This window comes from Homo sapiens, chromosome 10 (assembly GCF_000001405.40).
Source record: "Homo sapiens chromosome 10, GRCh38.p14 Primary Assembly".
Lineage (NCBI taxonomy): Eukaryota > Metazoa > Chordata > Mammalia > Primates > Hominidae > Homo > Homo sapiens.
In genome coordinates this window covers 118,634,747-118,650,427 of record NC_000010.11, presented here as the reverse complement: position 1 = coordinate 118,650,427, position 15,681 = coordinate 118,634,747, and the positions used below count along the sequence as shown (strand labels likewise).

Here is a 15,681-nt window from a genome sequence, read left to right as displayed (position 1 = left end):
CTGGTACCAGCCACTGCAAAAACATACCAAATTGTAAAGACTATCAGCACTATGAAGAAACTGCATCAACTAATGGGCAAAATAACCAGCTAGCATCATAATGTCAGGATCAAATTCACACATAACAATATTAACCTTAAATGTAAATGGGCTAAATGCCCCAATTAAAAGACACAGACTGGCAATCTGGATAAAGGGTCAAGACCCATCAGTGTGCTGTATTCAGGAGACCCATCTCACATGCAAAGATACACATAGGCTCAAAATAAAGGAATGGAGGAATATTTACCAAGCAAATGGAAAGAAAAAAAAGCAGGGGTTGCAATCCTAGACTCTGATAAAACAGACTTTAAACCAACAAAGATAAAAAAAGACAAACAAGGGCATTACATAATGGTAAAGGGATCAATGCAACAAGAAGAGCTAACTATCCTAAATATATATGTACCCAATACAGGAGCACCCAGATTTATAAAGCAAGTTCTTAGAGACCTACAGAGAGACTTAGGCTCCCACACAATAATTGTGGGAGACTTTAACACCACACTGTCAATATTAGACAGATCAACGAGACAGAAAATTAACAAGAATATTCAGGACTTGAACTCAGCTCTGGACCAAGCAGACCTAATAGACATCTACAGAACTCTCCACCCCAAATCAACAGAATATACATTCTTTTCAGCACCATATTGTACTTATTCTAAAATTGACCACATAATTGGAAGTAAAACACTCCTCAGCAAATGCAAAAGAACAGAAGTCATAACAAACAATCTCTCAGACCACAGTGCAATCAAATTAGAACTCAGGATTAAGAAACTCACTCAAAACCACACAACTACATGGAAACTGAACAATCTGCTCCTGAATGACTACTGGGTGAATAACAAAATTAAGACAGAAATAAATAAGTTCTTTGAAACCAATGAGAACAAAGACACAACATACCAGAATCTCTGGGACATATTTAAAGCAGTGTGTAGAGGGAAGTTTATAGCACTAAATGCCCACAAGAGAAAGCAGGAAAGATCTAAAATCAATACCCTAATATCACAATTAAAAGAACTACAGATGTAAGAGCAAACAAATTCAAAAGCTAGCAGAAGACAAGAAATAACTAAGACCAGAGCAGAACTGAAGAAGATAGAGACACAAAAAAACTCTTCAAAAAAATAGATGAATCCAGGAGCTGGTTTTTTGAAAAGATCAACAAAATAGACCAGTAGCAAGACCAATAAAGAAGAAAAGAGAGAAGAATCAAATAGACACAATAAAAAATTATAAAGGGGATGTCACCACCAATCCCACAGAAATACCAACTACCATCAGAAAATACTATAAACACCTCTACGCAAATAAACTAGAAAATCTAGAAGAAATGGATAAATTCCTGGACACATACACCCTCCCAAGACTAAACCAGGAAGAAGTCCAATCCCTGAATAGACCAATAACAAGTTCTGAAATTGAGGCAGTAATTAATAGCCTACCAATCAAAAACAGCCCAGGACCAGATGGATTCACAGCTGAATTCTACCAGAGGTACAAAGAGGAGCTGGTACCATTCCTTCTGAAACTATTCCAAACAATCGAAAAACAGGGACTCGTCCCTAACTCATTTTATGAGGCCAGCATCATCCTGATACCAAAACCTGGCAGAGAAATAACAAAAAAAGAAAATTTCAGGCCAATATCCCTGATGAACATTGATGCAAAAATCCTCAATAAAATACTGGCAAACCAAATCCAGCAACACATCAAAAAGCTTATCCACCACGATCAACTTGGCTTCATCCCTGGATGCAAGGCTGGTTCAACATATGCAAATCAATAAACGTAATCCATCACATAAATAGAACCAATGACAAAAACCACATGATTATCTCAATAGATACAGAAAAGGGCTTTTATAAAATTCAACAGCCCTTCAAGCTAAAAACTCTCAATAAACTAGGCATTGATGGAATAATAAGGGCTATTTATGACAAACCCACAGCCAATATGACACTAAATGAGCAAAAGCTGGAAGCCTTCCCTTTGAAAACTGGCACAAGACAAGGATGCTCTCTCCCACCACTCCTATTCAACATAGTATCGGAAGTTCTGGCCAGGGCAATCAAGCAAGATAAAGAAATAAAGGCTATTCAAATAGGAAGAGAGGAAGTAAAATTGTCTCTATTTGCAGATGATATGATTGTATATTTAGAAAATCCCATCTCTCAGCCCAAAATCTCCTTAAGCTGTCAAGAAACTTCAGCAAAGTCTCAGGATACAAAACCAATGTGCAAAAATCACAAGTATTCCTATACACCAATAATAGCCAAATCATGAGAACTCCCATTCACAATTGCTATGAAGAGAATAAAATACCTAGGAATCCAACTTACAAGGGATGTGAAGGACCTCTTCAAGAAGAACTACAAACCACTGCTGAAGGAAATAAGAGAGGACACAAACAAATGGAAAAACATTCCATGCTCATGGATAGGAAGAATCAATATCGTGAAAATGGCCATACTGCCCAAAGTAATTTATAGATTCAATGCTATCCCCATCAAGCTACCATTGACTTTCTTCACAGAATTAGAAAAAACTACTTTAAATTTCATATGGAACCAAAAAAGAGCCCATAAAGCCAAGACAATCCTAAGCAAAAAGAACAAAGGTGGAGGCATCACACTACCTGACTTCAAACTATGCTACAAAGGCTACAGTAACCAAAACAACATGGTACTGGCACCAAAACATATATAGACCAATGGAACAGAACAGAGGCCTCAGAAATAATGCTACACATCTACAACCATCTGATCTTTGACGAACCTGACAAAAACTAGCAATGGGGAAAGGATTCCCTATTTAATAAGTGGTGTTGGGAAAACTGGCTAGCCATATGCAGAAAACTGAAACTGGACCCCTTCCTTACACCTTATACAAAAATTAACTCAAGATGGATTAAAGACTTAAACATAAGACCTAAAACCATAAAAACCCTAGAAGAAAACCTGTGCAATACCATTCAGGAACATAAGGCATGGGCAAAGCCTTCATGACTAAAACACCAAAAGCAATGGTAACAAAAGCCAAAATTGACAAACGGGATCTAATTAAACTAGAGCTTCTACATAGCAAAAGAAACTATCATCAGAGTGAACAGGCAACCTACAGAATGGGAGAAAATTTTTGCAATCTATCCATCTGACAAAGGGCTAATATCCAGAATCTACAAAGAATTTAAACAAATTTACAAGAAAAAAAAACCATCAAAAAGTGGGCAAAGGATATGAACAGAGACTTCTCAAAAGAAGACATTTATGTGGCCAAAAAACATTTGAAAAAAAGCTCATCACTGGTCATTAGAGATGTGCAAATCAAAACCACAGTGAGATACCATCTCACGCCCATTAGAATGGTGATCATTAAACAGTCAGGAAACATCAGATGCTGGAGAGGATGTGGAGAAATAGGAATGCTTTTACACTGTTGGTGGGAGTGTAAATTACTTCATTATGGAAGACAGTGTGGCGATTCCTCAAGGATCTAGAACCAGAAATACCATTTGACCCAGCACTGACATTACTGGGTATATAACCAAAGGATTATAAATCATTCTACTATAAAGATACATGCACACATATGTTTATTGCAGCACTATTCACAATAGCAAAGACTTGAAACCAACACAAATGCCCATCAATGATAGCCTGGATAAAGAAAATGTGGCACATATACATCATGGAATGCCATGCAGCCATAAAAAGGGATGCATTCATGTCCTTTGTAGGGATACGGATGAAGTTGGAAACCATCATTCTCAGCAAAGTAACACAGGAACAGAAAACCAAACACTGCATGTTCTCACTCATAAGTGGGAGTTGAACAATGAGAACACATGGACACAGGGAGGGGAACATCACACACCAGGGCCTGTTGTAGGGTGGGGGGATGGGGGAAGGATAGCATTAGGAGAAATACCTAATGTAGATGATGAGTTGATGGGTGCAGCAAACCACCATGGCACATGTATACCTATGTAACAAACCTGCACGTTCTGCACGTGTATCCCAGAACTTAAAGTATAATTAAAAAAAAAATGGAAGAGATTACAAGCAATACCACAGAAATACAAAAGATCATTCAAGGCTACTATGAACACCTTTACACACATTAACTAGAAAACATAGAGGAGATGGATAAATTCCTGGAAATATACAACATTTGTAGATTAAACAGGAAGAAATAGAAACTCTGAACAGACCAATAACAAGCAGTGAGATTGAAATAATTCAAATGTTACCAACAAAAAAAGTCCAGGACCAGATAGATTCACAGCTGAATTCTATCAGGCATTCAAAGAAGAATTGGTACCAATCCTACTGACACTATTCCATGAGATAGAGAAAGAGGGAATCCTCCCTAAATCATTCTATGAAGCCAATATCACCCTAATACCAAAACCAGGAAAGGATATAACAAAAAAAGAAAACCACAGACTAATATCTGTATCACAGATGCAAAAATCCTCAACAAAATACTAACGGAATCCAACAGCATATCAAAAGGATAATCCACCATGATTAAGTGGGTTTCATAACAAGGGTGCAGGGATGATTCAACATCTGCAAGTCAATAAATGTGATACACCATATAAACAGAATTAAAAAGAAAAATCACATGATCTCAATAGATGCAGAAAAAACATTTGACAAAATCCAGCATCACTTTATGATTGAAACTGTTAGCAAAATTGCATAAAAGGGACATAGCTTAAGGTAATAAAAGCCATCTATGACAAACCCACAGCCAACATTATACTGAATAAAGAAAAGTTGAAAGCATTCCCACTGAGAACTGGAACAGGACAAGGATGCCCACTTTCAGCACTTCTATTCAACATAGTACTGGAAGTTCTAGCCAGAACAAACAGACAAGAGAAAGAAAGGGCATCCAAGTGGGTAAAGACAAAGTCAAACTGTTGCTGTTTGCTGATGACATGATCGTATACCTAGAAAACCCTAAAGACTCATCCAAAAAGCTCCTAAAACTGGTAAATGAATTCTGCCCAATTTCAGAATACAAAATTAATATACACAAATCAGTAGCTGTGTTTTACACCAACAGTGACCAAGCTGAGAATCAAATCAAGAACTCAGCCCTTTTTACAATAGCTGCAAGAAAATAAAATATCGAGAAATATACTTAACCAAGGAGGTAAAAGACCTCTATAGGGAAAAGTACAAAACATTGCTGAAAGAAATTGACACATGATGTTTTTCCATTGACACAAACAAATGGACATACATCCTATGCTAATGAACGGGTAGAATTAATATTGTGAAAATAACCATACTGCCAAAAACATTCTAAAAATTCAATGCAAATTCTCAAAATAGCACCATCATTCTTCACAGAACTAGAAAAAACAATCCTAATTGCATATGCAACCAAAAAAAGAGTCCACATAGTCAAAGCAAGACTAAGCAAAAAGAACACATCTGGAGGCATCACATTAGCTGACTTCAAACTATACTATAAGGCCATAATCACCAAAATACATCCTGGTATTGGTATAAAAATGGGCATAGAGGCCAATGTAACAGAATAGAGAACTCAGATATAAAGCTAAATACTTACAATCAACTGATCTTCAACTAAGCAAACAAAAACAAAGTGGGGGAAGGACACCCTATTCTACAAATGGTGCTGGGATAATTGGCAAGCCACATGTAGAAGAATGAAACTGGATCCTCATCTCTCACCTTATGCAAAAAGCAACTCAAAATCGATCAAAGACTTAAATCTAAGACCTGAAACCATAAAAATTCTAAAACATCAGAAAAACCCTTCTATTCCAAAAAATAAATAAAAAAGCAGTCGTTAATGGTCAGGGGCACATCCCTCCCACTTTCATCGGTTCCTAGCCCACAAAGGGAAAGTGAGATCTTCCAGTTAGGAGCAATTTGGTGAAAGGAGCGGCTAGAGCTGGAATAACTGTCTGCATGGCTGCACTATGGTATCAGAGTGAAGAAAAGAAGTCAGGATAGTGTGGAGGGCACAGTTGCAAGTTGAGTCTTTCCATGAGACAATGTGGGGAGAATTCTCCCTACTAGATTTAGATAGATCAATGTGCCAAAGTTAAAGAAAAAAAAATCCAAATAATCAGCAGTTCAAACACTATTGAATTTCAAACTTCTCCCACCAAGATAGCTCAAACAGCAGTGACAATCTAGATCTTTCCAGGAAGTGAAGGTAGAGCCCCTGGCATTCCTCCTGAGAGCCCTGTGTTAGGCCCTAGAAGTATCTGCTGCTGCTGCAGTTGCTGCTGTTGCTCCATTTGCAACTTCTCAGTCTCAAAGACAAGGGGAAGAACCAGGATCATAAAGGAAGTGGTCCCAGTCCACAAGGCTGCCCTGGAAAACCTGTACATTTTTTGAGCCACAAAGAGGAAGAGATCAGAAGTGGCTCCAGCCACGGACCGGACCCTCTCCGGAAACATCTCCGTCAGGCCCCATAGTCTCTCTGACAGGGTCTCCTCTAGCTCCTCATCGTCATCCTCCTCCAGCTCCTCCTCAGTCTTCACGGCTTTGCCTTTTGGGAGCAATTCATCCGGGGACGTCTGGGGATGGGGGTTCCCCTGCACCGACAGCAGCCACGGTGACAGCTATGTAGTCATGTAGTCTGTATTTTTAAAAGCCCCAAGGTAATTCTGATGTAGGCTGGAGCTTGAGAAGCAGAGCTTGAAGAGCATTCAGAATCTTGGCTTTGAGTCAAGGATGGAGGCTCTAAGCTCCTACTCTATCCCCTGGTCCTCATTACAGCCCCTTCTTCTAGCCCCAGCAGCCTCCCTCTTGCCCCGGCTGCCCTGTGATCTTTGCTTGGACAGGGCTCTCTTGCCCAGACCAATTGCCCTGAGATGGTCCAAGAAGTAAGTGGTCAGTGAAGGCTGGCCCTGCCTCTGTCCCCACTGGGTCGCTTCTGCGACTGTTATCCTCCCAGTGGTTAGCCCCATGCAAAGTATGAACTGACACGCCACTCAGTTGCTTTGAAAGGGATGCATCTCCCTGGCTGTCGGCTTGTGACTGTCAGCTTTAGGTGACAGAAATCAGGCTCCAGTGAGAGCATCTGCCAGAGCTTGGAAATTCAAGGTCCCCAAGGGAATGAAAGAAGAGGGAGAAGATGAAGACATTTAGACAAGCGTGGCTGCTGGCCCTCCCAGCAGTCAGGCCCTGCATCCACACTGACATCACCTGAGGAACTTCACAACACCTGGGCACCTGGATGGACCTCACCCCAGGCCAACAGAGAACCCCTGGAGTGGGGGCCTGAATGCTGACCATTTCTCAAGAGCTAGGGTGATGCAAATGTGATTGCTTTAACTTAGCACTTCTCAAACTTGAAGGACAGTAGGGATCTCTGGAGATCTTGTTAAAATGCAGGGCCTGATTCAGTGGGTCTGGGGTGGAGACCACATTTCTGCATTCTAACAAAACTCACCAATTACTTTGCCAAATGACCATTTTGTCTATGTAACCAGATTTCTTGCTTGATTTGGTAAGCACAATATTTAGATTTTTAAAGGGAAATTCATGCTTGCTTAAGAAACTTTACTAGCAGAAAGTCAATTGCCAGCAATTCATTTGAGAATTTGAGTTTATGCTAACTTTTCATGTAAGATATTTACGTGAAAGTTTACATGTAAGATATTTCAATTCAGCCGGCCAGCCCTTGAGGGGGAGCATGACCACATAGGTAGGTCTTTGGGTGGGGCCCCAACTGTCCCAGAACCTCCCAAATTCATCAGGCTCTGCCGTCACCTCTTTTACATTTGGAGGATCTGCTGCTGAAAGTGTTTGAAAACTAGATCTTTGTATCCATATGGTGCATTTGACATTTGGGAAACGTGAGGCTCAGAGAAGTTAAGCATGTTCCCTGAGGTTGCACAGCCTAGGCCATCAGCCCAGAGAGATGCTGTAGACCCTGTGGTGCCAACTCAGGCAGACCCAAGCCCATGGCTCAGCAGCCCCTGATGCCCCAGGCTCACCTTCCTGGTGGTGGGATTGCCCAGCTGACAGCCCAGAAGGTGCCCAGACTGAAGGCAGTGCCTGGAGGAGTTTGGAGTCAGCACCCTCAATTCCCCCTACAACCCTAGTTCCATGGACTGTCTCCCTCTGAGGCTTCTCTGGTCCCATCTCCCTTCCTCTTAGCAGTGGCAACAAAGGCTACTTATTTAATCTTAGGTTCACTGAGGGCTTTAGAGGCCAGAGAACAGATGCCTGTGCCTGCCAGTCATCTTCCACCTTGTTCTGGAAAGGGGCAATCCTCCTGTGGCCATGAATGACCATTGTGTTGGAACCAAGGTAGCAGCAACATCATCAAAGCTGCAGTGAAGGCAGCAGCTGAGAATACCAGGTATGAGCAACTCAGCCCTCACCTGGAGGACAAGCATGCACTCCTGTAAGGCTGGACTGTCCCTACCTTTTCCTGGGGGAAGCCAACTTAGCAGGGGCAGGAAGTATCCTGCAGTGGGGAGGGAAAGAGAAGGGAGAGAAGGGAAGGGGTATGGGGATGAAATGCCTATCCCAGAGCCCATTTGCAGTAACTGACTGGTGAGACTCAAACACTGCCCCAGAAACCAGGAGGAGGATTAGCTCTGCAGCCTTCCCAAGCACGTGTAGATCCCCAGTGCTACTTGTGACCTATTAGACCTATCTATTATAGAGCTTGAGGGTAGGACATGCCTTCAGAAGTTCATCTGCCTAAGCTTCTGCCTTTAGGCGGGCTGGTGACTTTCATGTTCGTTGCACAGATGAGGCAATTGAACCCTGAGAGGTGAGTCAGTGGAGGAAGAAAGCCCTGAACCTGGCCCCCCTGTCTTCTGATTCAGGGATGGACTGTGTCCCCAGGTGTCTTTCCCATATGACCTTTCCTCCCTTCCTCTGGTCTCCCAGTGGGGAACGGGCTGGACAGGACAGGTGTTAAGGGCTAAATAAAGCCAAGGAAATTGGAGTGGAAATGACCAGGAACCTTCTGTGGGGGATTTTGAGGGTAGAGCAACTGCTGGGGTATGGGGCTGAACTCAGGCCTGCAGGGTTGGAGAGCTCCTGCTGAGGAGATTTAGCTGAGGGCTCCCAGCAGCCTCGGGGGTGAGCAGGGGCAGGCATGATCCCAGCCCAGCTGTGGGAGGCTGGGAACCTTTCAGGTGGGCACTCTTGTCTTGGCATGAGGCCTCAAGGGATGCACAAAGACCCATACCAGACAAAGCTAGCTGATGCTGCTGTGCCCTCTGAGGGTTTACAGTATGGGTGGGGACTCCTCCCTGCCATGACCATTAGACCCAATGTGTTGTGGGAAGTCAGGGACCCTGAACGGAGGGACCAGCTGAAGCCATGGCAGAAGAATGTGGATTGTGAAGATTTCATGGACATTTATTAGTTCCCCAAATGAATACTTTTATGATTTCTTACACCTGTCTTTACTGCAATCTCTAAACAGAAATTGTGAAGATTTCATGGACACTTATCACTTCCGCAATCGATACCCTTGTGATTTCCTATGCCTGTCTTTACTCTCTTAATCCTGTCATCTCGTAAACTGAGGAGGATGTATGTCACCTCAGGACCCTGTGATGATTGCGTTAACTCCACAAATTGTAGAGCATGTGTGTTTGAACAACATGAAATCTTGGCACCTTGAAAAAAGAACAGGATAACAGCAATGTTCAGGGAACAAGAGAGATAACCTTAAACTCTGACCACCACTGAGCCAGACGGAACAGAGCCATATTTCTCTTATTTCAAAAGCAAATGGGAGAAATATCGCTGAATTCTTTTTCTCAGCAAGGAACATCCCTGAGAAAGAGAATGTGCCCCTGAGGGTAGGCCTCTAAAATGGCCCCCTTGGGTGTGGCCGTCTTCTATGGTCGAAACTGTAGGGATGAAATAAGCCCCAGTCTCCCATAGCGTTCCCAGGCTTATTAGGACGAGGAAATTCCCACCTAATAAATTTTGGTCAGACCGGTTGCTCTCAAACCCTGTCTCCTGATAAGATGTTATCAATGACAATGGTGCCTGAAACTTCATTAGCAATTTTAATTTTGCCCCGGTCCTGTGGTCCTGTGATCTCCCTCTGCCTCCATTTGCCTTGTGATATTCTATTACCTTGTGAAGCACGTGATCTCTGTGACCCACACCCTATTCGTACACTCCCTCCCCTTTTGAAAATCACTAATAAAAACTTGCTGGTTTCACGGCTCAGGGGGCATCACTGAACCCACCGACATGTGATGTCTCCCCCAGATGCCCAGCTTTAAAATTTCTCTCTTTTGTACTCTGTCCCTTTATTTCTCAACCCGGCCGATGCTTAGGGAAAATAGAAAAGAACCTACGTGACTATCGGGGGCAGGTTCCCTGATACCAATCAAAACATCAGATGCAGGTGGTACCAGAGCAGTGTCCAGCTGCAGGTCCTGCACGTTCCCACTCCAGTGGGATGCCTCCACCTTTGCCCTTTGGGGTCTTTGACACTCTACCCTTCTGTTGAGGCACGAGTATGGTGCTCAGGAGTAGGTGCACTGGGGTCCAAGTTCACCTCCACCACTTCCTAGCTGGGCAATTCACTGACAGCAGTATCTGAAGAACCAGGAATGGCCAGGCTCAGTCTCCAAAGGTCCTGCGAGGCAGAACCCACATCCCTGACAGTTCTGTAGGCAAAGAAATGGAGGTACTGTCATGTTCCCCCATCCCTACCCTGGGACATCTCGCTTTTCTCATGTGTGGGACAGGCATAGCATTAGGACCTACCACTCAGAGATAAACTGAGCATTTGGTGAGATGGTCCACAGAAAGGATGCAGTCTGATGAAGCCCCACTGTTCTGTAAGTGATTCTTTGTCATCGTCATTGTCTTTGGGATGGGGAGGAATGGGAGATCTTAGAGGAAGCATCACTGGGGGAGGGAAGAAGAGCTGAGGAGAAGAGGTCCAGCTGCCTACCCCCAAGAACTACAGGGAGGAAGAAACGGAGGCAGGTCATCAATCTCCAGTTGGAAAGTGGTTAGGGCCAGCTGCAAGAAGGATGAGGGACTCTGCTGGGGTCAGGAGAGGGTTGCCCAGCAGGGTAGCAGGTGATCTGTCTCAAGATTTTCCAACCAGCCCTGCCCGCCTGTCTCCAAAACCCCCTCATTTTATAGAGACCCCTGTAGGTTTCCTGTACCCAGCCAGGGCCAGGTACAAGCACCAGGACTGTGAAAGCACATGGTCTGAACAGCTCAGCAGACCTGCCTCAGCATGTGGCTGATTTTTGTCAACAGCTCTAGTGATTGGAGCTGTGCCTTTCTCGTCCTCTAACTGGAAGTGGGATTTTTCTATTTCTGAAAGGACTGGGCCAGGGAGGAAGGTCACAGCGTGGACAGCACCCAGCCAGCCTGGGTGGCAGTGAAAATGTTTTCTCTGTCCTAATTTGAAAAACCGACTGAAAAACAGACCTCCTGGCTGACTCAGGGCCATTATCACTAATTACATTCATGAGGCACTAACCTCTGCCTAGAAAACTTCCGATGGCAGCAACTCCGAGAGCAACCTGCACGTTGAGGGAGGGAGAGAAGCGGTCTTGCTGCAGACCTGCTTGTGTCTCAGAGGCTACATTTTTCTGGGAGGGGGCACGGGCTCAGGGGAAGGAAGCCCCTGACCACACTGCAAGGAGGCGCGTGAGAGAGGGGTCTTATCCCAGGGTTAGGGGAACATGACTATGTCTTCATCTCTGCAGAGCTGTCAGAGATGTGGATTCTGCTTCGTAGGATCTTTGGAGACTGAGCCTTCCTACTCTTGGTTCTCAGGATGCTGCTCTCATGAAGTTTCTTTTCTTCTCTTTTCGAGATTGGATCTCACTGTCACCGAGGCTGGAGTGCAGTGGTGTGATTTTGGCTCACTGCAGCCTCAACCTCTAAGGCTCAAGCAATCCTCTCACCTCAGCCTCCCAAGTAGCTGGGACTACAGGTGCATTCCATCATGCCTGGCTAATTTTTTGGTAATTTTTGTAGAGACAGGGTTTTGCCATGTTGCCCAGGCTCGTCTGGAACTCCTTGGCTCAAGTGATCCATCTGCCTCGGCCTCCTAAAATGCTGGGATTACAGACATGAACCACTGTGCCCAGCCCTCAGGAAGTTTCTGTTCTAAGGCAGAACACATTGATTTGGACACACATTAAAAGCCTCAATTTCAGAAATATTCAGTATAAGCTGAATGTAGTTGTTCAAAATAACAAGGTAGCACTGATATGAAAGAACCCAAAAAGATATCTACCATATTCTACTAGGTGAAAAAGCAGTTTATTAAATAGTGTGTAGAGTATGTGTTGATGAGTTCCAGCTGCTGTACCCAAGACTGGATGGCTTAAACAGATGTTTATTTCCTCATAGTTCTGAGGTTGGGAAGTCCAACATCAAGGTGCCAAAGGGTTGTTTCTGGTGAGGGCTCTCTTTCTGCCTTGCAAACAGCCACCTTCTTGCTCTGTGTTCACATGGCCTTTTCCATGTGTGCAAAGTGAGACTGCTGGTGTCTCTTTTCTTATAGAGGCACCCATTTTACAGGATTAGGGCTCTATTCAATGATCTTATGACCTCATTTAACCTGAATTGTCTTCCTAATTACCTCCGTAAAGGTTCTATCTTCAAATACAGTCACATTGGGGGTTACAGCTTCAACATATGAATTTGAAAGGGAAGGGGGAAAGGACAGTTTGGTCCATAACAGAGTATGATCTTGTTTGGGTAAAAAGGTATATATATGTGTAACAGATTTGTTGTCATTGTTGCTTTTTATAACAACTGTGTTTTCAGAAGGGTGACTCTGGTCAGATGGAGCCTGCTTTGTTCTGCTGATCCCTGGAGGGAGCTCCAGGTTGAGGGTGAAGCTGGAAGCATCACCTCTCCTTGCCTGATGCGGGGTGGGCTGGCTTGGAGCTGCCAGAGCAGTCTAGGAGTCAGGGAGGAGTGACCACAACATTGGCAGTGGGACTCCCATGTATTCAGGAAAGTCAAAATGCCTGAGAGGATTTCCTATGGACAGTGGCAAGACAGCTGAGTTCTATGCATGGGGAATTAGGGGGAGAAACAGACACAGCACATGGGGTGCAGGGTCCACAGCTGAGCGGACCAGGGAGCAGAGGAGGCCCCTAGGAACCAGCAGGAACTGGGGACTGTGGTGGGCTATGAATTGGCAGTCTTACCAACCGCATCTGGATCTCTGAGGAGCAAGGGGCCCCAGTATATATTAAGTATTTTAGTATTAGAAAAAGATCTAAGAGAAGGAAGACCATAAATATTTTAACAAGTGCTTTGATATGTGTGAGATGGTAGAGAGAATAGAAGAGACTGGAGTCAGAATTATTTCCTTCTTTGTAAGTTGATGTGTTATCTGATTTTTTATGAGCATACATTTCTTATATAATCATAAAAACAACGGCTGGGCGCAGTGGCTCACACCTGTAATCCCAGCACTTTGGGAGGCTGAGGTGGGTGGATCACTTGAGGCCAGGAATTTAAGACCAGCCTAGTCAACATGACAAAACCCTGTCTCTACTAAAAATACAAAAATTAGCTGGGCATGGTGATGCACGCCTGTAGTCCCAGTGACTGAGTCATGAGACTCGCTTGGACCCAGGAGGCAGCAGTTGCAGTGAGCTGAGATCATGCCACTGCACTCCAGCCTGGGCAACAGAGTGAGGCTCTGTCTCAAAAACAAAAACAAAAAACAAAAAAACATAATGGCTCAATTTTCCTTTAATACATCAAGTACATAAGCTGAATTCAGCAATTAGCTATTGCTATTATCTGCATGTTTCTGTAGCCCTAAAATTCAAATGTTGAAAGCCTAACCCCCAAGGTGATGGCATGTACAGGTGGGGCCTTTGGGAGGTGATTAGGTCATGAGGGTGGAGCCCTCATGAATGGCATTAATGCCCTGATCAAAGAGCTTGCTTGCTCCTTCCACTATGTGAGGACACAGAGAGAAGGTGCCATCTCTCACCCAGAAAGCAGACCCTCCCCAGACACTGAATCTGCGGGCAGCTTGATCTTGGGCTTCCTAGTTTCTAGAACTGTGAGAAATAAACTTGTTATTTATAAGCTGCCCAGTTTCTGGTATTTTATTATAGCAGTCTGAAAAAAACCAAGATTGCTATTAAGTGTCCGCTATGTGCTAGGCTTTGTTGTAGACACAGAGATAAACCAGACAGACAACCTTGCTTATGAGCTTAGATTCTAGTGGGAGAGGCAGACAGCAGGCAAGTGAGTTCATGATATAATGCAACATAGAGACTAGTACTCTAAGGGAAAGAAAGCCGAGGAGCTGAGTTGGGGAAGCAAGCAGAAACAGAATAGAGACCTGGGAGCTCCAGGGGGAGGGGAGAGCCAGGCAAAGTCCTGAGGCTGGGGTGGCAGATGGGGGAGCAGCAGGGCCCTTGTGCAGCTGAAGCAGAGTGAGCAGAGGCAGAGTAGGCGCTCACTCACCAACCAGCTTCTCAGCCCTGGGGCCACAGTCCTCAGGGGGTCCCTGTGCAAAGGTGGCCCCTGCTGAGAGATGTTAGTGCTGCCTACCACAGGTTGGGGAGCTTGAACAACAGATGTTTATTTTCTCACAGTTCTGGAGTCTGGAGGTCTAAGATCAAGGTTTCTGGTGAGGACTCATTTTCTGGCTTGCAGACTGCTGCCTTCTTACTGGGTGCTCATAGAACATTTCCTCAATGTGTGTGTGTGTGCTGAGCAAGTGAGACAGAAATTTGGAGCTCTTGGTGTCTTTTCTTACAAGGAAACAAATGCTATCAGATCAGGGCCCTACCCTTATGCTTTTATTTTAATTACTCCCTTAGAGGTGCCATCTCCAAATATGACCACACTGGGGGTTAGGGCTTCAATATATGAATCAGAAGGATTCTATTGTAATCTCCTATAATAGGAGCAAACCCTAGACCAGAGCCTTGGGCTCCAAGCAGCTCCTCTATCAATAAGTTGGGTCATTTGGGTAAAGTGAATCAGTTTTCCCTCCTATAGTCTGGGGGAGATTGTACCTATGCCTCCGTCTTCCAGGGCTGTTGCAAAGACGAAGAGGATGGCCATGAAACTGTGAGACAGCCTTGTAGGCTGTGAGGTGCCCCACAGTGAGAGGCCTCATTATAAGAAAGAAGGATTAGAAACAATACTATGGAATCCTTGGCCTCAGGGTCACCTTGGGTCAGGAGAGGGTATTTACAGAGGGCCCTAGGGCTCAAGGTATCAGGTATATCTGCACAGACCAGGGGCACATCTGCACAGACCAGGGGCACAAACACAAATGCCTAGAAGGCTGGGCTGGTCCCATAAGTCAGGGGGGTGGGCGTGAGTAGGATTAGAGGTTGCTACGGGGACAAGGGACCCTGGAGCTTGCCAGGGAAGTCCGTGTTTTCTAAGTTTTGAAGTTATCAGGACAAGTTGAAAATTAAACTTGTTCTTCTAGCAGCCAATTAAAGAACTTAAAACACCAGCAAACCAAAGCAAGCCCAATTTAGCCCAGAGCCCAGCAGTTTCTGATCTAGGCTGTTGGCATTGTTGGTGGGATGGGTGGGGGGAATGAGCTTGGGAAGGATGAAGGGTCTGGAGAGAGATGGGGTTGGGTGGATCTGGTTGGGTTCTCCTGGCATCTAGCAGG

At 44.4% G+C, this 15,681-nt stretch overlaps 1 pseudogene, besides 1 other annotated feature; it reads right to left on the bottom strand.

The window, feature by feature from the left end:
* TOMM22P5 (TOMM22 pseudogene 5) lies at positions 6,034-6,669 on the bottom strand (annotated as a pseudogene).
* Positions 14,482-14,982: an enhancer, noted in NCBI's record as "H3K4me1 hESC enhancer chr10:120394958-120395458 (GRCh37/hg19 assembly coordinates)". NCBI's record gives its function as "activates a minimal SCP1, AML or CMV promoter by ChIP-STARR-seq in naive H9 embryonic stem cells {active_cell/tissue: H9 hESC(naive)}" and the evidence as "EXISTENCE:reporter gene assay evidence [ECO:0000049][PMID:30033119]".